The sequence below is a fragment of the Homo sapiens genome, chromosome 13, assembly GCF_000001405.40.
Source record: "Homo sapiens chromosome 13, GRCh38.p14 Primary Assembly".
Lineage (NCBI taxonomy): Eukaryota > Metazoa > Chordata > Mammalia > Primates > Hominidae > Homo > Homo sapiens.
This window is the reverse complement of record NC_000013.11, coordinates 33,616,302-33,639,426: the sequence shown is the minus strand read 5'-3', so window position 1 is coordinate 33,639,426 and position 23,125 is coordinate 33,616,302. Positions and strand designations below refer to the sequence as shown.

Genomic DNA, 23,125 nt, shown 5'->3' with positions numbered 1-23,125 from the left:
GCAGACAATAAACTTCACAAGGGCAAAGACCACGGCTGTTCTTGTGCAACTTTGAATCATCCGTCTCCCAGACAGCCCTGGCAGATAGCAGATGCTCAAGGCCTGGGACCTGCTTCTCCCTCAGTCCCACATGGCCTTGGTACAAGTATTCCCATGACTGAATTCCACCCTAATTCTTCTTGAGAGGCCTCTCAGACCACTCGAACTTAAGCAACCTCCTCCTGTTAACTCTCCAACTCTTCATCATCTCACCCTTGTTATGGCTTTGCAGCATTGGTCATCATCTGGCATTATCTTATTTGTCCATTTGTTTCTCATTTCTTCCTTTCTTTTCCCCTTATGCTGCAAACTACTTGAGAGCAGAAAATTTTCACTTTTATTCACTACTTTATCTCCAGCCCCTAGAAAAATGTCTGGTTCACAAATATCTGCGGAAAGAATGAATTTGTAAATTGAGGTCATTAGATGCCAAAAAAAAAGGTTAGCTAAAAAAAGTATGTAAGTGAATGAATGAATAAATAAAACATAACCACAAGTTTGGTTAGAAGTTTAAAACTAACAGCTTTGAACAAAAAAATTATAAACCAAAAATAAAATTCTAAGACCCCCAAGTGACTGATGGGCCCTACCCTCAGCCAAGGGCATTCCAAAGTTAATCCAAAAAACTAGTTCAGGACGTACTGCGAAGTGCGGGTCAGACATGCCTCATTATGCCTTCCTCCTTTTAGAATTCAGGCACAGATGACCAGCACTAACATTAAAACAGAGACCTTAAGACTGATAGAAAAGACTTTTTAAGTCTGAAAAGAAACATTTACAATCTATTCTCTCTGAAGCCTGCTACCTGGAGGCTTCATCTGCATGATAAGGAACTTGGTCTCTACAATCCCTTATCTTAACCCAGACACTCTTTTCTATTGATTTCAGGTCTTTAGATAATAACTCTTTCAACCAATTGCCAATAAGGAAATCTTTGAATCTGCTTATGACCTGGAAGGCTCCCCTCCTTCCAGGTGTCCTGCTTTTCTGGAAGGAACCAGTGTATATCTTACATGTATTGATTGATGTCTTATGTCTTATGTCTCACTTATGTCTTATGTCTCACTTATGTCTTATGTCTCACTAAAATGTATTGATGACATGTATCTTACATGTATTGATTGATGTCTTATGTCTAAAATGTGTAAAACCGAGCTGTAGCCCAACTACCCTGGGTACATGTCCTCAGGATCTTCTGAGTCATGGAGAGAAGCTGCTGAGCCTCCAATTCTCTCCTTTCTAGGAGAGCCAGGGCTCTGTCATGGGCCATTAGTCACTCATATTTGGCTCAGAATAAATCCCTTCAAATATTTTACAGAGTTTGACTCTTTTCATCAACAGAATAAAAGACAGTATTGGTACTATGACTGAAGCAAATCAAGTGACTAAAGAAATCTGGAAAATTGAGTTCAATAGCTGATGTTTCATGAATTTTTTTAACCTGTTAATAAAGTTGACTCTGCAAAAATTAAAATTCAAAACTCAGACCCATTTATTTTACATTTTATAAGAATTTTACTTAGCAATATAATTCAAGTCAATTTAACTCCTGTTTTTAATTATTTCCTTGAAGCAAATTATCTGGGTTAGCATTAATTGTAACTTCCTTGAATTTCTTTCCATAGGATAAAATGTGTGAGTTGATTAGAAACTATTTTTCAGTCTTTGACAAGGTAATTATCATAGCCCTTGAATGAGCTGCAAAATAGTAAGTGTGAACTGCTAAGAAGCCTGATAGAAAATGCCATGTTAGTTGAAAGTTGGATCACATGTTGGTCTGCAACACAGATTGGTGAGCCCTTGAAATGAGTTCCCAATGAGCACAGAGAGAAATCAAAATAATATTGATATTCCAGATCTTTCCAGTTACACAATGGAAACAGCATTCTTCAGAGGGCTATGTGTTAAAACATACCCTGTGGCTGTTTATCCTTCTCACGACAAGTTTTGTTCTCATTTACCCCCTAGGCCAGAAGGTAGCACTTTGAGGGTATGGGCCATGCAAATGACTATTTCAGCTTCTAAGATCAAAATAAATTTTGTTTCCTGTAATGTGGTGGTGGAAATGTAGAGGCCTCTTCCCCTCCTTCAGGCCACCCGACTTTGTTGAATGGCTCAGAGTTTAGAACATGGCCAGAGAAGTCACACTCTCTCCATTTAAAGCCATGCTTCAGCTTACTAGTCGTAAGACCTTGATTAGTCATTTACCTTCTCTCTGTGTCTCAGTGACCCCTCTTTCCAGATGATGACAGTACCTACCACAGAGGTTTGCTGTGGGGATTACATGAAATTATAGTGTCTGGCACATAAAACATTCCAAATAAGGATGAGTAAGGGTACTATTCATTCCTTCATGGTGCTTTCAGGAGTAGTGTGTTGCTCACAACCTAGATTGAACTCTACTTCCAAAAGGAGGCAAAATCTGAGTTTAGAAAAGATAACACCACTGACATTATTACATAATAATACTCCAGGAGATTAAAAACAATTCTAAACCCTTAGAGGTCTCAGAGGTCCCTAGAACCAGCTGCCTGGTTGTGTAAGTGGTATAACTTGGACGAGGATTGTGATAATCCAAGCAGGGCAATGGATCCAGGGTCCTGACGACCCAGCCAAGGTTTTTGACAAAGGAATATAAAAGTAGCAATAATGCTTTCTTGTTGTGACTCATTTTTTAAAAATAGTTTCTGGGTAAAATGGCAAGTATAAGATAAAATAGCAAGTGCAATTATCTCCTATTCTTCTGGAGATACAGGAATAGACTTCTGAGAAAATTATCACCTTAGCCTCCAGTTGAGCTTCAGACTTTGAAACAGGAAGAAGGTTTAGAATTTCAGTTTCTTGAATAGTCCCATAATTAGGGTAACCAAACTCCCAGTGTTCCTGGGAGAGTCCCGGTTTATGCCTATTGCCCTGGTGTCCCATCGCATTCACACTCCATTTCACTCTCCAAAGTAGCCGGGTTTGGATAATGAATTTTACACGTTCCCTACTCAAAATGCAATCACAGCAAGAGTCATGGCGAGAAAAGCTGCTGAGCCTCCAAGTTTCCCCTTTCTAGGAGAGCAGGGACAAATCATGTTTCTTGTGTTCTTTAAAATAGAAGACTAAGGAGAAAGCAAGTGTCAGGGGCTACAAAAATCATCGCAATCAGTCTTACTACCATATACTGAGCATTTAGTGTATTTACTATGAGTGATGATCTCTGCTAAGTTCTGCTATGTGCTTTTTTTTTTTTTTTTTTTTTTGAGACAGAGTCTCGCTCTGTCACCCAGGCTAGTGCAATGGTATGATCTTGGCTCACTGCAACCTCCACTTCCTGGGTTCAAGCTATTCTCCTGTCTCAGACTCCCGAGTAGCTGGGATTACGGGTGCCCACAACCATGCCCAGCTAATGTTTTTTTGAGATGGAGTCTCACTCTGTCGCCCAGGCTGAAGTGCAGTGGCGTTATCTCAGCTCACCGCAAGCTCTGCCTCCCGGGTTCACGCCATTCTCCTGCCTCAGTCTCCCAGGTAGCTGGGAGTACAGGTGCCCGCCACCACACCCGGCTAATTTTTTGTATTTTTAGTAGAGACGGGGTGTCGCCACATTGGCCAGGCTGGTCTTGAACTCCTGACCTCAAGTGATCTGCCCACCTCAGCCTCCCAAAATGCTGGGATTACAGGTGTGAACCACTGCGCCCAGCCTGTGCTAAGTGTTTTTTTTGTTTGTTTGTTTTGTTTTTGAGATGGAGTCTTGCTCTCTCGCCCAGGCTGGAGTGGTGCGGTGGCACAATCTCAGCTCACTGCAAGCTCTGCCTCCCAGGTTCACTCCATTCTCCTGCCTCAGCCTCCCGAGTAGCTGGGACTACAGGCGCCCACCACCACACCCGGCTAATTTTTTCTATTTTTTAGTAGAGATGGGGTTTCACCATGTTAGCCAGGATGGTCTCGATCTCCTGACCTCATGATCCACCCACCTCAGCCTCCCAAAGTGCTGGGATTACAGGCGTGAGCCACCACAACCGGCCTGCTAAGTGTTTTTATATCCATTTTCTCACAACTCTGTGAGGTAGGTATTTAGTTTCCATTTATTAGGGAAACTAAATCAAGGATATAGAGCAGCACATGTTAGAAACGGGATTTTAACCCCGGGCAGTCTGGTGCTATGGTCAGTGCCCTGCTCTGCTGTGCTGTTCTTTTGTACATCCTGTACATGAAGTGGAGGGTCCACAGAGTGGGCACTTTAAAAGGTTTCTCTGAGCCTAGGGAAGCATTTTCTAAAGCGAAGGCAAGAACTGGCTTTACTTCGTAAGCGATCCATATCCACTTTGTTTGGTTCTTTAACATATGGTTTAAAAATGCCTTTAAAAAGACCTGAATGCATCTCAAATGTTCCCCTTTGGTAGTATCTCCAAAGAAGAGCTGGTGCATAGCTGCCTCTCTCCTGCCCTTCACTGCTGATCTTCCACTGCCAGGCATCTGCAGGGGACATTCTGGGGAAATGACAGAGCCAGAGCCTTTGCAGCCAACACAGAGCATGTCTTCTGGTTCACCACCTCTATCCACCCTTCATTCGCAGCGACACCACTTTCCCTGGAGGCCAGTGAATGTTGTTTTTCTCTCTGTCAGTGGGGTAATTCAACCAAGCGAGAGAGAAGTAGGAGAAGAAAACTGTGTGTGTGTGCATGTGTGTGTGTGGCGGCGGGGCAGGGCGGTGTTTATCAAAACGCAACAGTAATTTGAACTATTCAGTTCTGGTACAACATAGAAGCAGTGTAGTGACCTCTCGAGGCTCCTTTCAGGATTTTGGATGTAAGAAAGGAGAATTTTGATTTCAAAAAATGGCTTTGAGGTATCTATTCAAATCTAATAACTTCTGCAAAAAGAAAAAAATAGCTTGGGACTAAAATCTCTTTTAGATGTCTATTTATTTTGTAAATCAAACTTTGAAAACACCCTGGGGCTATGGGTTTAGAAACGGTTCCAAAGTTCTGGGAAACACCCCCTGATGACAATGAGAAATATTCTATGCATTTACTGAACAGCTTCTCCCATTGGATCATGAAGGCATACTTTAACTGTGAGGTAACTGAGGCTGGGTAAGTCAGTAATTCATGGGGTGATCTGCTCCTTAAAGGAGTTCTGACATGTCTTTGGCAAAAGCTTTCAGATGCTATGATGCCACTCAGAATTCTTAGCTCAGGGATATAAATCAGGTTGTAACATGAATAAGGTATGTAAGAAATCTTCCTTTCTGTTATGAGGTAAGAGAAAAATGAGGTTATTTAAACAATCCATGTTTATATGATGGCCATCTTTTAACAAAAATTCTTTTCAATACATTAAAAATGATCATTGAATCATCAAATGTAGTTTTGTCCTCTGATAGACAAAAGAGTAGTGTCTAGACTGTCTGATGAATCTATTTGACTGAAAGATAAAAACAAATGTGGTCTTGTTGTCATCTCTGTGGCCTTCTGAAAGCCCAGTGTACAGAGGTCACACAGGGAGCCCCAAGAGGGTGGTCAGGAGGGAAAATGAGCCCTCCACTGTGCCTACTCATTTAATAACACCGCCCTGGGCAGAGAGGCAAGACTGGGGGTGCTGTTTGCAGAGTCACGTCACCTTCTCCTTGTGACCTTAGAAACCATGCTAAATTCTTCCATTCTGCAATTGCCTTTCACATAAAATTGTTGAATAAAAAAACCTGGAACCAGCCTGAGAGGAAAGTACATGATAACATCTGCCTTTTACTTTTTAAACATTATTCAGAAGATGCAATCAAATATAACCTAGTTGTTATGTGCAGTGATTACATTTTAAAAGTTATGCCAATCATTCATGTAGAGCTAAACACAAAAAAGGAAGCTGCAGATGCAATCTGTGAAGGACATTTAGCGGCAAATGTGCGTTTTCTTCCACTTTTTTCCTGCAATTTAATATCCACTAAACTGGATAATGACTAAGTATATATGTATATCTTTAGAGGCCAGTATATGTTGTTTCTTTGTGTTAGGTACACTTGGAGTCAATCTTGTGACTAAGGCAGAAGTGAGATGATCTACGATTCCATTTACAAGAATCTAATATGAGGCTCTAGCATTCATTTAGAACTTCCATTTATGTACCATAAAAAAGAGGATATCAAGTGAATAAAGGAAACCATCAAATCTTTCCTTAGCACTAGGCAGCATTTGGATGACAAGAGGAATTTAGAAGGTGAGGGCTTTCTAAGTACCCACAAGGGTCAAATGCAGTAAGTGGCATGCTGAATACTACAGCCAATATTATCAAGCACTTTTTATCATTATTGTTATTTACAACATACCCCTCTTAGTAGGAATTAAATAAATTTTTGGAGAATTTCAAGATAAGTCCATTGAACAAAATAAAAAATAACAGCCTGGTCTAGTGACACTGTGCCCTTTTGAAGTGACAGCACTGACATTTTCTAGCATTAATGCTATGTTTATTCAGGTCTTGGGTTATCATTTCATTGATCATTATTCAGTTCCATGAATGATCACTGTGCTCTTGAAAGAAATTACGTCTTGCTTATTGCCTCTTAAATAGAAATGAAAAAAAAAAAAAGAATATAGAACATCATGGCATAGTGATCAATCTGTAGAAAAACAATGAGACTTTATACTTATAGGAAAGTAGGTAGCCAATTGATTTATTTCCCCTGAAATACATTTTTCTAGCAGAGTAAAACCCACAAATCAGAAGGCTAGAAAATAAAATATATGCCAGTGAAGAGAAGTGGTCAAGTTTGGTGATAATTTTGTGAATATCTTTTTTCTACGAAAGCACCAAAAGCTTTTGCTCCCACTTAGATTCCAACCCATTTTCTGAACTTAAGGGATACTTTGGAGCAAAATCCCTTGAATACACCCAAGTTGATATAAAGACATGTAGGTACAATATAGACATAGTGGAAAGGAAGTTGGCTTACCAATGATATTCTGAATATGATTCATGGTCACCTTATAATTTATATCAAACTATAACTATATAATTCTGGAAGAATACCATAGACTCATTCACAAGGTTCTACATAAAATATTGGGTCAAAGTAGTGCTGAATATTGGTGATGAATTGGCTCACTAGGCTAGAATGTACCGGAACATTTTCCATAGGGAGCAAGCAAGAGGAATGGCTCAGGAAATGTGATTTTATGAGAGCTCAAGAGTTCATGTCTTAGCCTATCCTCAATTACTCATATGTGTTCTTTGGCTTTAAGTAAATTGCCTACAGTGTGTTGATTATATGTATTAACTATAGATGGATAGTATCACTATCAACTTGTATCATTGAGCACCATTTGCTAAATAAAGCTAGTAAATGCAAAGTAATGATTCCATTAAATGGCAAAAACTGGCTTCCTTTGACAACACTACGATCAGGAATTTTTATTGTGACCATTACCTGATAAACTCTATTTAAATTTTTATGATGGGTGATTTTCTTCTTATTTCAAATTTAGTGGAAGTGTGTTACCATGAAGCATTCTTTCTTCCCATTACTGTAACCAAAATTTTTAACGCAAATTACTTTTATGTGCTCACCAGATATCATGAAAATATTTTAACCTGATCTCTGAATATGGTATTTTGAATACTAGAAGCTTTTGTATTTACATAGATATTTAAAGAAATAAAGTAAAAAATCATAGCATATATTAATAGCATCTTGTTGTTGTACTCCAGAAATCTACATTTCAATTAATCAAATTCAACAAATATAACTATCATAGACATTTGATTAAAATAAACAAACACAAATCTTCTAGGTTATTCCCTAGTTTCGCACTGTTGAGCCCAAAGCTCATAACTGCATTCACATGTCTTGTACCATGAGGTATAGGCATCAGCATTAGGACCTGGAATGCTCAGCACTTCCGTAATCACCAAGAAGATGAAACCATATCTCTTATACATGATTTACCAATGTAAGAACATGAAGAGGCTATTCTAAGTGCTTTTAGAAAAGAAAATGGAAATCATACTCTTAAATGTCTACCTGATTTTATGAATACTCCGGACAATTTTGGTTTTAGTTCAGCACAATACCTGCTTATTTTGAGAACTGGATAAATGGTTTTAGATAGATAGGTGTCAACCTGCCATTTCTTCAGAAGGAAGGAGGGTAACATATTTTGGAAGATCACTAAAAGTACATGTAGTGTTTATAAATCCCTAGTGCTTTTATTAGTAAAAGATTATTGGGTAAGAAAGAGGCTACCAAGTGAGTCTTGTTGTAAGCTCATAAAACTGTGTGATTTATTTAACACTTTCCAGGGCTGGACAGAGCACTGATTATTTCCACCGGTATATAATGCACACTGGGCTGACAGCAGAACATGGGATCTAATTTACAAAGACTGAGTTTTTTGGTTTTTGTTTTTAAATGCAGGCTCATATCTCAAAGGGATTCATAATGAATGCCAATGAGTTAATTACTGCTTAGGAAGATCTGAATCTTTCTATCTCAGTAACTATACCAGTAAGACAAGGATGGGAAACGTGTTAGAAGAGAAACAAATGTCTTTCTTGCATCTACCACATAATGGCCAAGGAGATGATGAGGGAAGGTGAAGGAGGATTAGGATGGTGGGACTCATGGGCTCTCAGTACCAAAGGTGTACAAGAAAACTTGTGTTTCAGTAGGTGGCTCTACCGGCTAGCACATATCCAGCACTATGAAGAACAAGATACAATTCCACAGACTTGGGTCTTTACAAAAATTCTTCCTCTTCATTTAATTTTTCCTACCCATAACTCTTGGATAAAATTATATTAGCAAGTCAAAGTGGCTATAGGTCACTAGGGACTTGGTGAAATGTGGTTCAGAGCCTAATATTGCATCTTGCAGAGTGACTACGTTGAATCTCTGCACGCAAGGTACGCAATCTACACCTCTGAAGGGAAAATCATTATGTGGTGGCGGCAGCAGGCCAATTTGGAAGAAGTATCAGCAAATTAATTTTTTCCTAGGCTTAAAGAAAAGCTTCCTAGGGGCTAGGAAAGTGGTGAAGAGGTAGGAAAGCTGGCCAAAAGAGGGTCTCAGGGGCCTCATTAAAATAGGCAGAGGGAAAGGAGTGTCTGAGGATGCAAAAAAATGAGAGGAGCTGGGACCTAGTGGCTAATGAGGGAGGGACGCAGGACCAGGAATTTGCAATCTGGATCAGCAGCTGCTTTGCTGAGTCGCTCTGGGAAACACTTCATTTTTCTATTCCTCTTGCACTTTGCTTTAAAGCAAGCTACTACACCTACTTCATAGGGTGGCTGTGAGAAACAGTCCATAAAAGCAAGCTTGAAGACTTTTGTAAATATACAAAAATTATGTAAATGTGAAAGAATAACAAGGACTATCAGAACATATTATGTAAATTATATCAGATTCAATAAAAGGCTTTCATTTGCCTTTGACGTGCATTTTATTTTTTTATATTCATAAACTAAATGATATTGAGCTTGTGTTACTCATCTAGAAAACTGCAAACCTGAGATTTTTGCCACATTAGAAGTAAATTAAACATTTACAACCGGAGATAGTGTTTCAGATAGAAAGGGGTCAGGGAAAGAGGCAATGAGACAGTATTGATTTTTTGCCCAGCTATTCCTTGGCTCTTGACAGTTCAAAAAATGATGTTAAAATTCAGCAGTATTTCTTTTCTGTTTGCTTTATATTCTTACACATCTAAAGACACCAGCTTATAGGTTATATGCTTATAACAAGGAATGCCATATAGTCTCATACATAATTCTCACATTTATCTCTTACTTAATTTAAAATAGATTTAATCTCAAAACTTAGTGTTTTTTCTAGAACACATGCATATTAGTTTCTAGACAAAGTGAAAGCCCAGTAAAAAATCCTTATGAATCATTTGAATATTTATGTTAAGGCCAAGCCACAAATTTGGCTCTATCTAGAAATCTCTAACAAACAAGCTAGAATCTAAAAGACATATGGCTGGCAGCATTGTATTCACTTCTAAACAAGACAACACATAAGCTCTTGGCAATTTTCTTATAAGTTTAAATGGAGACACACTTTAGAGCCCTCTTCCAGGACAGTCTAAGTAATAGTGTCCAGTAATTTCCAGTTAAAGTGTTATTTGTTGATTTGCTAATGAGCTGACATTATTGTTGTCTTACCAATGAAGTATAGTTAAAAGTGAAATCAGGACTTCTAAATGTAATATCTGCTTTCCTATGGCGTTTGGCCCGTGGAGTTGGGGTAGCCTCATGTAGAGGAGGAGTTGAACTGGGGACCTGGCCTACAACCCAAGACATACAAGAAGTAGAGCTGTCTCTTTATGCAGCTACCACCCAGGCCTCTGCCTTCACAGACAATCAAGCTCAACATAGCTAAGAAGCTGCTGGCGACCCTCTTTTGAAAAGATCCCACAGTAATCGTAATCACATAACTGCCATCTGCTATTGATCATTGGCACTGAGCAAATAGCATCTCATGTAACCCTCGCTACCATCATAGCTATTTCCATTTCCAGTTGACAGAGAATGAAACTCAGGGTTGGAACTCTGGTGAAGAGTGATGCAACTTTCCTAAGATCAAAAGGCAGTAGGAGACTGATCTGGGATTTGAATGCAGGTCTATCTGATTGAAAAGTCTCTGTTCATCCCCTACAATGCGGTGCCTCCCTGGGGCAGATGAATGCTCAGCCACGTCAGTCATTCCCATCTGCTGTGCCACGGAGGTTCAGGTGCCTGTTAGAGTGAAAGAAAGAGTGTATCAGGTGTACCTTCTTCTTAGCCTTCCTACTTCAGTCCTTCAAAGAGATTTGATTTCTCTAAGGTGTCTCTTGTTTATACAGAATGGATTGAGTTTTGTCACATTCAATTCTGATTATGTGAGATTCCTGCTGAGTGAAGCCAAAGCTAGTTACTTTAATGCCTATTAGAATAGGTTCCTTACAATGTAATTCTGAGAAAAAGAAGGACCCATTCTGACTCGTACACATACCTGAACTTGAATTTTGATGTTGGTCACAAGAGTTCTTTCTGATGTGGAGGGAACAAACATGACTGGATGAAAAGTGACCAGGCTTGTTATTAATACTAATGAATAAATTAATTAGTACCAGGTACAGAGCAGAAAGAATAGAGACAGGGGCATCCCTAGTTCAATTTCTGGGATAAATAAAAGAAAAACATTAGAAGTATATGTGTCCATGATGCATGTGGTGTGTGTGTGTGTGTGTGTGTGTGTGTGTGTGTGTGTGTGTGTTTTACAAGAGAGAGAGTCCAGGAATGAAAAAAGATATATTTATCCCAACTCATTACCTTGTTCAACCAAAAGATGACTGTCTTAGAAATAGCCTAAAATTAGGTTGCAGTGAGTCGAGATCGTGCCACTGCACTCCAGCCTGGCAACAGAGCGAGACTCCGTCTCAAAAAAAAAAAAAAGAAAGAAAAAAAAGAAATAGCCTAAAATTACGCAAAGTAAATCTAGGCTGATTTACACTATAGTGGTGGGACTTTCTCCAATAGCTTCGATGTTCATCTCACTATTGTGGTTGCTGTACGTCAGAAAAGGCAGGAGCCCCACGGTGCAGCCCTGGAGGATGGGCCATAAATGACACATGTACATAAATTAAGGGCTAGGCCAATGGGCAGGCTTGGGTGCTCACATTCAGAAAGGACCACTGAGGCCTCTCCACCTTTTGGACCATGTCCAGGGCCATGAAGGACAATCTCAACCTATCTTGAGGCAGAAAAGAACATTTTTTTTTTTTTTTTGAGATGGAGTCTTGCTCTGTCACCCAGGCTAGAATGCAGTGACACGGTCTCAGCTCACTGCAACCTCCACCTCCCAGGTTCGAGTGATTCTCCTGGCTCAGCCTCCTGAGTAGCTGGACTTACAGGTGCCCGCCACCGCACTCGGCCAATTTTTGTATTTTTAGTAGAGACGGGGTTTCACCATCTTGGCCAGGCTGGTCTTGAACTCCTGACCTCGTGATCCACCCACCTCAGCCTCCCGAAGTGCTGGGATTACAGACGTGAGCCACCATACCCAGCCAAGGACATAATACATATGTTATAGCATAGATGTACCTATCTACAAGTGGAGAAACTAATCCTACCTGGATGTTGAAGACAGTTACCTTACAATACAGCACTATGCTACACACATAGTAACTACTTACATAATGTTTGCTAATGAAAGAATAGATAAATACCCTTTATATCATTCAAAATATCACTAATTCTGCTACTTGGGAAAGTCAATGCCAAGCTAACACTGTCTAGATTTAAGCAGAAAATATACAATAAAATATTAGTGTTTGTGATTAAAAGCTGGTTTAATGATCTGAAAATGATAAAGGGAACAATGATTGATGAAGTTTGAAGCAGGTTTATTCTATTTCCCTTTATCAGAACCAATTTTGTAACTATACTATTCTAAGTTTTATGGATTCTTTAGTCCTGATGGCCAGAATTTTTATTTTATTTTATTTTTTTGCTAGTGCAGGACAAATCTTGTCATTTACAAATAGGCAAACATGTAATCAAAAGTGTAGACTTCTCAACATGGACCCACAGACAGGTGGGCCTCCACATTCCAGATTTGTTATTCTGAATTTGGGATGTGTGCTGGATTAATTCATACTCTTTCTTACAGTAATGACAATGCTCAGCCTGCTGGCATATAGCACCACTTGCAAAGATGAGGAAGGGGAGTGGATGACATGTTTCTTAGGTTGGCTTCCAAGAGTAGGTAAAGATTATATAATCCCACTCACAGAAAAATACTTTCCTACACTTTCTAAAATAAGAGAGTCACTTGCAGTAATAGCTTTCTCTGGAGATGCATGTAATAACAGCTTTATTTTCTTTATTTTGCTCATTTTTATTGATTTGGTTTTCATTTTATTAGACAGATGGATTAGAGAGATAGATAATAAGGTAGGTGAAGATTTCACCAACAATTTTCTCAAATATTGGAGGTTCAGCCCATGCATTTGATCATTATGCATTATTATCTTTTCTATAATTAGATTCATGTATAGCTAAAGATAAGGTAGAAATAATAGAATGGTTTGAGAGATGGAGGTCAAGCGTGAGGTACTGAAGGAAGACAAAATCTGTTTAGCTGAGAGGATAAAAAGATTAGATAGTTTGACTTTGTCCTTACACTAATCTCCCATTCCTCCCTTTCTCCTCCTGTCTTTGAAGGGGTCACAGCTGTTTCTCAAATAGCTACTCTGTGTGTGTATGCACATGTGCAGATGTGTGTGTGTGTGTTTCTGATGTAGCTATGGTCTATCTATAGACAATGCCAAGAGTCTCTCATATAAAAGTTTTATATTTACATTCATGAGAGGCAGAATAAAAGGCCAAGTCAGAACAGAATAATTTTAAATTGGATTTTCTTAGTGACACTGGGAGAAATATACATTTAAGAATTCTCTTGTTGGGAGGCCAAGGCACACGGATCACGAGGTCAGGAGATTGAGACCATCCTAGCCAACATGGTGAAACCCCATCTCTACTAAAAATACAAAAATTAGCCGGGTATGGTGGCGAGAACCTATAGTCCCAGCTACTAGGGAGGCTGAGGCAGGAGAATCGCTTGAACCTGGGAGGTGGAGGTTGCAGTGAGCTGTGATGGTGCCACCGCATTCTAGCCTGGTGACAGAGCGAGACTCCGTCTCAAAAAAAAAAGGGTACCATTAGGTTAATTCTCTTTCTAACCAAGAGAATTAACCTAATGTTTAACTGTGCTCTCAGACATTATTGTCGATTTTCTGTGGAAGGCCAGACACCCAGGTTTTGACAACTTCTTTTTTATTTTATTTATTTATTTTTGAGACAGTCTCGCTCTGTCGCCAGGCTGGAGTGCAGTGGTGCAATCTCAGCTCACTGCAACCTCTGCCTCCCGGGTTCAAGTGATTCTCCTGCCTCAGCCTCCCGAGTAGCTGGGACTACAGGCGTGTGCCACCACACCCAGCTAATTTTTGTATTTTTAGTAGAGATGGGGTTTCACTATGTTGGCCAGGATGGTCTCAATCTCTTGACCTCATGACCTGCCCGCCTCGGCCTCCCAAAGTGCTGGGATTACAGGCGTGAGCCACCACACCCGGACTTGACTACTTCTTAGAGTACTGCCAAGGTCACCCTTCTCGTTCAGGACAGGCTGGGCTTCTACCTCTGCCCTTGCCTCTGAGAAGATGAGTTCTCATTTCTTTCTCAAGCATGAAGAGGCTAAAATGTCTGTGACCCTACCCCTCCTCCACTCACTCTTGTGCCTAGGCTTGCTCTGACTTGATTCTCAGAAAAGGCTCTGCTCTGCCCCTCAGAAGGGACAGGAAGCAAAAGAACTGCCACTGCTGCCCTCAGGATGGCATGTGGGAGGGACTCCACCTCCCACTGCTTCCGAGGTACCCCAGCCAAACAGGATGACATCTTCCTTGTACAGATTCTGACAGCTTGCAGTTGTTCTGCATGGAAGGAAGTACCACTTTTAGGCACTGACTCCTTGAGCATATTATGAGAGGAGGCAGCTGCAGTGAGGTGGGAAGAACAACTAGTCAGTCACCCACATCTGACACCTGACCAGCTGGGTGGCCTTGGGCAAGTTGCCTTGGATTAAGTTATCTATAACTAATCTAGACAAACTGCTGGCAAGATAGAAACTTTATCCAATTACCTACATCCAAATAATGACTCTCACTTGCTATTTAACAGACACTGTTGAATAGCTATTGTACTGGCCTTAGGAGGCTCAAAGGAAATAAAAGCTGCATCTGAGTGTCCGTTGTTCTTTCATAAATGTTGGTTGAGTCTGTGCTAGATCTCCAATGCTGGGCAGGACATTGGGTAATTAAAGATGTGAGGAAGACCATTGCCAACTTGAAGGAACTCTTGGTGTAAGGAGATGGGGAAGTAAACAAATACATAAATGCTGATAGTGCTGTTTTCAGCACCATGATGGTGATGAGCACAGGTGGGATTCAAGCACTGAAAAGCACAGAGGCAGTGCCTCACTCTGCCCGCAGCGGGGCCCACAAGTGTCCAAGATCACCCTTACAGACATTTAGTCAGTATCTTAGCAATGCATGCATCAGTAGTTCATTTGTTTTTATTGCTGATTAGTACTGCCTTGTATGAGTATACCACAATTTGTTTATCTGTTCTCTTGTTGGAGGACATTTGGGTTGTTACTAGTTTGGGTTGCCTGAGTTTTTTTCCAGCTCATAACTATTATGAATAAAGTAGCTATGAATATTCTTGAATAAGCCTTTTTGTAGGCGTACATACTCATTTCTAGGAGCAGATTTGCTGGAAGGTGTAGTATGTATGTTAGTTTTACAAAAACACTGCCAAACTTTGCCAAAATGTTTGTAATTTATTTTACATTCTTCAACAACATATGACAGCTCCAGTTATTCTACAACTCTCTGATACTGGGAGTACTGTTTTATCAATCTCTTCAATATTCCGCCATTCTAGTCCATGTAAAAGGCTATCTTGGTGTCTTTAATAGCATTTCTCTAATAATGAATGGTGTTGAGCATCTTTTCATGAGTTTATTGGGTCTTCTTATAGCTTCTATTGTGAAGTCTTTTTTTAACACTTTTTTTGGTTGTTGTTGATTTGGTTGTCTTTTTAGTATATAGACAGGTAGATGTAGATAATTAAATACGTAGATGTAAATTAAATATGTAGATGTAGATGTAAATAATATCAGCTCATTTGTTGATTTGGTTGTCTTTTTAGTATATAGACAGGTAGATGCAGATAATTAAATATGTAGATGTAAATTAAATATGTAGATGTAGTTGTAAATAATATCAGCTCATTTATGGGGCGAAAATAACCCTATTACCAAAACCTGACAAAGGTTTTGTATGTATGTACATACATACACAGAAAACAAATATTTTCTTCTGGTCTGTGACTTGCCTTTTCAGAAGCAGACTTTTTTTTTTTTTTTTTTTTTTTTTACTTTATTGAGGTTCAATTTATCATTGTTTTATGTTTAGGGCTTTTTGTGTCTTTTCTAGGCAAATTTCACCCACTTCAAAGTTGAAAAATATTTTGTATTATTTTTCTACAAAATTTGTGGTTTTAAGTTTTATGTTGGGGTCTCAAAATAATGTTTGTGCATGTTATGACATTGAAAATGGCATTAAAACATTTTATATCTCATTTTCAAGATGTTTCTGCAATATTATTCTTTAAATGTGGTAAATTATCTGATCGATCTCACTGATTGCATTTCTGAGATAAAATCCATTTGGTCAATTTATTTTTATTTTATTTTATTTTACTTTTGAGATGGAGTCTCCCTCTGCTGCCTACACTGGAGTGCATGGCACAATCTCAGCTCACTGCAACCTCCGCCTCCCAGGTTCAAGCAATTCTCCTGCCTCAGCCTCCTGAGTAGCTGGGACTACAGGCGTGTGCCACCACACCCAGCTGATTTTTGCATTTTCTTTCTTTTTTTTTTTTTTTAGACAGAGTTTTGCTCTGTCGCCAGGCTAGAGTGCTGTGGCGTGATCTCGGCTCACTGCAACCTCTGACTCCCTGGTTCAAGGGATTCTCCTGCCTCAGCCTCCCGAGTAGCTGGGACTACAGGCATGCGCCACCACGCCCGGCTAATTTTTGTATTTTTAGTAGAGATGGGGTTTTACCATGTTAGCCAGGATGGTCTCGATCTCCTGACCTCGTGATCCGCCCGCCTCAGCCTCCCAAAGTGCTGGGAGTACAGGCTTGAGCCACCACGCCCAGCCTTTTTTTTTTTTTTTTTTTTTTTTTGAGACGGAGTCTCGCTCTGTCGCCGAGACTGGAGTGCAAGCTCCACCTCCCGGGTTCACGCCATTCTCCTGCGTCTGCCTCCCTAGTAGCTGGGACTACAGGCGCCTGCTAGTACGCCCGACTAGTTTTTTGTATTTTTAGTAGAGACGGGGCTTCGACATGTTGGCCAGGCTGGTCTCGAGCTCCTGACCTCAAATGATCCACCCGCCTTGGCCTCCCAAAGTGTTGGGATTACAGGCGTGAGCCTGGCCCATTTGGTCAACTTATTATTCTTTTTACACGGTACTGGAGTGATTTACTAGATTAAAGTGTTAGATTTTATGTCTATGTTCATACAGATGGTGGTCTTCATTTCTAATGTCTTTGTCAGGTTTTGGTAATAGGGTTATTTTCGCCCCATAAATGAGCTGATAAATATTTCCTCTTCCACTATGCTCTGACAACATTTGGTGGAATTGGTTGATTTTTTTCTTTTTGTTTTTTATAAGGTTTGACAGAAATTGCAAGTGCAGGCCTCCACAGTGGCTCACACCTGTAATCCCAGCACTTTGGGAGGCTAAGGCGGGTGGATCACCTGAGGTCAGGAGTTCGTGACCAGCCTGGCCAACATGGTGAAACCCCTTCTCTACTAAAAGTACAAAAATTAGCCGGGCGTGGTGGTGGGCACCTGTAATCCCAGCTACTCAGGAGGCTGAGGTAGGAGAATCGCTTGAACCCGGGAGGGGGAGGTTGCAGTGAGCCATGATCATGCCCCTGCACTCCAGCCTGGATGACAAGAGCGAGACTTCGTCCAAAAAAAAAAGAAAAAAAAATTGCAAGTGCAACCATCTGGGCCTGCAGTTTTTCTTTGTGGAAATGTTTTGAATTATAAATTCAATTCTTTTAATATATATAAGCTTCTCAGATTTTTGAATTTTTTTTTTTTTTTTTTTTTGGAGACTGAGTCTCGCTCTGTCGCCCAGGCTGGAGTGCAATGGCGTGTTCTCGGCTCACTGCAAGCTCTGCCTCCCGGGTTCACGCCATTCTTCTGCCTCAGCCTCCCGAGTAGCTGGGACTACAGGCACCCACCACCACACCCGGCTAATTTCTTTTTGTATTTTTAGTAGAGACAGGGTTTCACCATGTTAGCCAGGATGGTCTTGACCTCCTGACCTGGTGATCTGCCCACCTCGGCCTCCCAAAGTGCTGGGATTACAGGCGTAAGCGACTGTGCCCGGCCAGTTTTTAAATTTTTTTTAGTGTTTTATTAAGATGAGTTTTTCAAAGAGTTTGTTAATTTTATCTATTATCAAATTTATTAAAAGAAACTTTTTTCTAATATATTTTCACTATTCTTCTATATGCAGCAATAGTTCCTCTGTTACTGCTGATGTTAATAATTTGTTTTCACTTTTTCTTGCTAAGTGCTTACCAATTTTATTATTTTCAAAAAACTGTTTGACTTTATTAATTTTCTTTATTGTTTACACATTTTCTACTTCAGTTTATATGCTTTTTTAATTTTCACTCTTCTACTTTAAGTTTAGTTTGCTCTTCTTTTTCTACTTCTTAAGATGGGACTTACTGGTTTTACATCTTTTTTCTAATATAAACATTTAATATTATAACTTTTCTTCTAAACACTTCTTTAGCTGCATCTCACAAATTTTAGCATACTGTGTGTTTTCATTATTACTTAATTCAAAATATGTTTTAAGATTTCTAATATTTCCTTTTGGATTTATTCTTTGATCCATAGGTTTATATAATGTGTTTTTAAATATCCAACTATTTTTGGCATTTCTATGTATTAAATTTTTTATTATATTTTATCTATACAAATATTTGTATATTCTGTTATATATGTTATATAACATATAGCTGTTATTTCTATATTGTTTCTTTTTATTTCTAGATGTATTATTATTTATATATTTTATTGTCATTTATTTTTAATTTAATATTACTCTAAGATTTTAAGTGTGTGAAATGTGTTAAGACAAAGTTTATCTTGGTGAATGCAGCATGTGTACTTGAAAAGAATGCATATTCTGGCCGGGCATGGTGGCCCATGCCTGTAATCTCAGCACTTTCAGAGGCCGAGGTGGGTGGATCACCTGAGGTCAGGAGTTTGAGACTAGCCTGACCAACAAGGTGAAACCCTGTCTCTACTAAAAATACAAAAATTAGCCAGGTGTGGTGGCGGGCACCTGTAATCCTTGCTACTTGGGAGGCGGAGGCAGGAGAATCACTTGAACCTGGGAAGAAGAGGTTTCAGTGAGCTGAGATAGCGCCACTGCACTCCAGCCTGGGCGACAGAGTGAGACTTTGTCTCAAAAAAAAAAAAAAGAAAAAAGAAAAAGAATACATATTCTGCATTGTTGGGTATACTGTTTTTTGAATGTCAATTAGGTCTTGTGGGTTGATAGCATTTTTCAAATTTGCTGTATTCTTTACTGTTTGTGTTTGTGTCTATTTGTCTATTAGTTGTATAAATAACAGAAAGAGGGGTGTTAAAATCTCCAATTATGGTCATGGATTTGATGAAGAATATTCCACCCACTCTTTTTTTTTCTTTGAGACAGAGTTTTGCTCTTGTCGCCCAGGCTGGAGTATAGTGGCACGATCTTAGCTCACTGCAACCTCCGGCTCCCTAGTTCAAGAGATTTTCCCACTTCATCCTCTTGGGTAGGTGAGCTGTGCACCACCACGCCCAGCTAATTTTTTTATTTTTTAGTAGAGATGAGGTTTCACCATGTCGGCCAGGCTTGTCTCAAACTCCTGACCTAAAGTGATTGGCCGACCTCGGCCTCCCAAAGTGCTGGATTACAGGTGTGAGCCACTGCAACCGGCCTCTAACGTATTTACATCTAATATTATTATTGATATGGTTTGGCTCAAATCTATCTTCTTATTGATTAGTTTTACATTTGTCCCATCTATTTTGTTTATTTTTTACTCTTCTTACCCTTTTTTCACTACCTTTTTTGTAAAATCAAAAATTTTTAGTATTCTTTTAAAATTCTCTATTGGCTTTTTATCTACACCTATACTTTCAGCTAGCTATCTTTTTAGTGGATGTTCTAAGAATTACAATAATGTAGTCTTATCAAAAAACTATTAATTTAAAATTAAGTTAATTAGGTTCATTTAAAGTAAAATCAATTATTATACTACTTTACTTAAGAAGCTAGGACAAACATGGGGCTCAAACATGTTTCCTTATCTCAGTTTTCCCTGCTGTTCAATGATGGAAAAATTCATATTTTTTCTGCAGCTTTACAGTATGCTAGAGAACAGAGCCAGTCTAGTTTGCAGTGTCTTTTATTAAAGAGAGTATTATTTTGTCTGGCAAACAAGTAAACTACTTGGAATCTTCCCTGTTCTGTCAAGCTCGGTTTGGTTCTTTGTTAGGGCTGTTTGAGTACAGTTTTGTCTTTAGTTCTAAGTTAGGTCCCTTATCTGAGGTGTGGTCTTTGCTTATAGGTTGTGGTGCTTTTGGGGTCTGAACGAAATGCCCACGGTTTTCAGAGATGCTTGTCAACTGACTGTTCCAGAAATCTGTCTTCTAACTTTACATGGCTTCTAATATTTCATGGTCTGCTCTCAGCCCTGAAGCAATCACTTTCTTTTAGGACTCATGGAATTTTTTCCTCTGAATGCACGGTATATCCCTTGGCCATGAATCCACAAAACACACACACACAGATTCTTATGGTCCCAGCTCTCCTCAGAACCCTCCTTTTCAGTACCCTGCCCTGAGAGTTCCAGATGCTTCTGTCATCTTGAAGTCTGATCTTAGCCTTCTCAGCTCAGCAAAAGCACTGTGCACTGCTTGGGCTCTATCTCCCTGCACTGCAGTTCAAAACATGCCCCCAACAAGAAGCTAGGACAAATATGGGGCTCATCTGACGTTTCCTTACCTCAGTTCCCCTGCTGTTCAATGATGGAAAGATTCAGTTTTTTTCTCTCCAGTTTTATGATATGCCAGAGAGCAAATCTGGCAGCAGTAACTGTATCATAGCTAGAAGAGGAAGTCTCACAATTTATTTAATTTGTATCCTCAATATCTGGCTCATAGTAAGCAAGCCATCGATGTAAGATATATGGGGCATGTATGAATGGATGTATGCACATTTGGATTACTGAAGGGATGGGTAGAAGAAATTTGTTAAGTCTTTTCTCAACATTATTTTTTCTCCTTAGCACTTTTCACAGTCTAACATACTTTATATTTTACCCATTTTAAATTTTCTTTTGTGTTTCACTCCCACTAAAATGCAAGTTCCATGAGGACATGACATTTTGTTTTGTTCACTGATTTATTCAATGACTGACATATAAAAGTTGCTTAATAAATGTTTGTTGTTAGAGTTGATTGATAGATTTTTCAGGATGATCTAGCATACTATTACTGAAATTTGATAATGAAAAAAGTCTAACAAGTGTAAAATCCATTAATGGAGAGTTAATACTTTTATGGGAGAGTCATTTTAGAGTATCCTATCATTTTTGATTAACAACTAGAATGCTCACTTCAGCAACACTAATCCTTTTTCTGTTCATCATTTACATATGTGACGCTTTCTCCTGCCTTAGAAACTTTGCTGTTGCATCTTTGCTTTTTGCAAGGATGGTTCCTTATATCATTCAAAATGCAACTCCAATGTCTCCATTTCAGAGAGGTCCTCCTGCTCTAAAATAGGACCACCTATGCCAATTTTCTATCATAACATCATGCTTTAATTCCTTGAGAGAACATATTCCTCTCTATTTTATGTTTACATATGCATCGTCTTATCTGTCTTCCCAGGTGACAAGCTCTGTGAAAGCTGGAATTTCATGGGGGCTCTTCGAGGTAAAGCCCAGCCCCTATACCAGTGCTTGGTCCTCAGTAGACACTCAAAAAATCTTTCTGGTCATAGGCAGAATTCTAAGATGGCCCCATGATCTCTACCACCTGCTGTTACTACTATGATTATGTTATCCAACATTTCAAAGGTTCTTTGAAGATGTAGTTCAGGTTACTAATCAGTTGGGTTAAAGAAAAAATGATGATATGGGTGAGCTGAACCTAATTATTTGAGTCATTTCAAAGCAGATAATTTTCTTTTGCAGCACAGGACAAAGTAAAAAAGATTCAAAATACAAGAAGGATTTATTGTAGTACAGTGTGAGTGTAATGTTTCCTGAATATAACATTCTGTTCCTGTGCCCTTGATAGTAATATAAGGGCTAAGTCAAATGCCTCTTCAACTATTAAGTAGTCTCAGATATCACCTCTTTGCTGTGCAGTTTACAAGCACTGATTGCTTATGTATGGGAGGAGGGAACCAAACCTATTGAGTGCCTAATATACACTGTACATGGTACCAGGCACTATTAACTCGTTTAGTCATCACAACCACCTTATAGTGTTATTGAGTCAGCCCATGATCACAAACTAAGTGATCAAATTATGATTCAGCCCCCAGGCAGTTTAAATTATTTTTAAAAATCAAAACCAAATCAAAACAAAAACCCAGGGAAAGGAGGATAAACTAAGAATAAAAGCACTCAACGCTTATAGTTCCATTTTAAACCACGCTAATGGCACTAATAACATAGGGTGCTGTTCCACCTGTTGACAGATGTACCCTATCCTCATTATCTGGAGTCACAGTTCCTTAGGGACGCTCCCTACCCAAGTCCCCTTGCCTGGTCCATTTTACTTATCACTCAGGTCTCAAAAGACACATTATTTCCTTGAGGAAACTTTTCCCGACCTGTCCTTTCTCCCAGACCCATGTGAGTTCCTCTTGTTATGGATTCTGATTCAATTAAAATAAAGACTATTTTTCTAGTTATGTATTTTGTGATTTATTAATACCCATGTAATTACTTAATTACTACAGCATAAACAAATTTAAAGGCAGAGGCTATATCTATCTTTTTCTGAAGTGTATCTTCAGAGCCTAACCATGTATGGCTTGTAGTAGGCACAATATAAATACGTAAAGAGAATGAACAAATACCCAAGTGCCTAAGACAGTGTTTGCCATGGATGGCATAGACTTTTCCCATGCCTTGTCCCCACCATGGCTGAAAATATTTTCTCCTTAGTGACTGAATACATGGATGGGTAGAAGGATAGATGGATAATTCTCAAAACTCTTCCAGTCTAGATTTCTGAGATTCCCATTCAGAGAATGGAAAATATGCGGAAGAGCAGAAAGTCTTTGTTGTCTATTATCTGCTTCTTGCTGACTACTAAAACCACCAGCACACTGCTGTCCCTAGAGATCTCACTTTACGTGAGGGTGCTAGAGAGGGTCTTTCTTCTTTTCTTTCTTTC

General features: G+C 39.3%; 1 protein-coding gene across 2 annotated transcripts in view, besides 1 other annotated feature; it reads left to right on the top strand.

Annotated features, from left to right (window-relative positions):
- Nucleotides 1-23,125, top strand: part of STARD13 (StAR related lipid transfer domain containing 13) — a 573,658-nt gene that overhangs the window by 37,368 nt on the left and 513,165 nt on the right. The window lies entirely within an intron of this gene.
- Nucleotides 2,050-2,299: an enhancer, noted in NCBI's record as "active region_7582". NCBI's record gives its function as "activates an Ori minimal core promoter by ATAC-STARR-seq in GM12878 lymphoblastoid cells {active_cell/tissue: GM12878}" and the evidence as "EXISTENCE:reporter gene assay evidence [ECO:0000049][PMID:35858748]".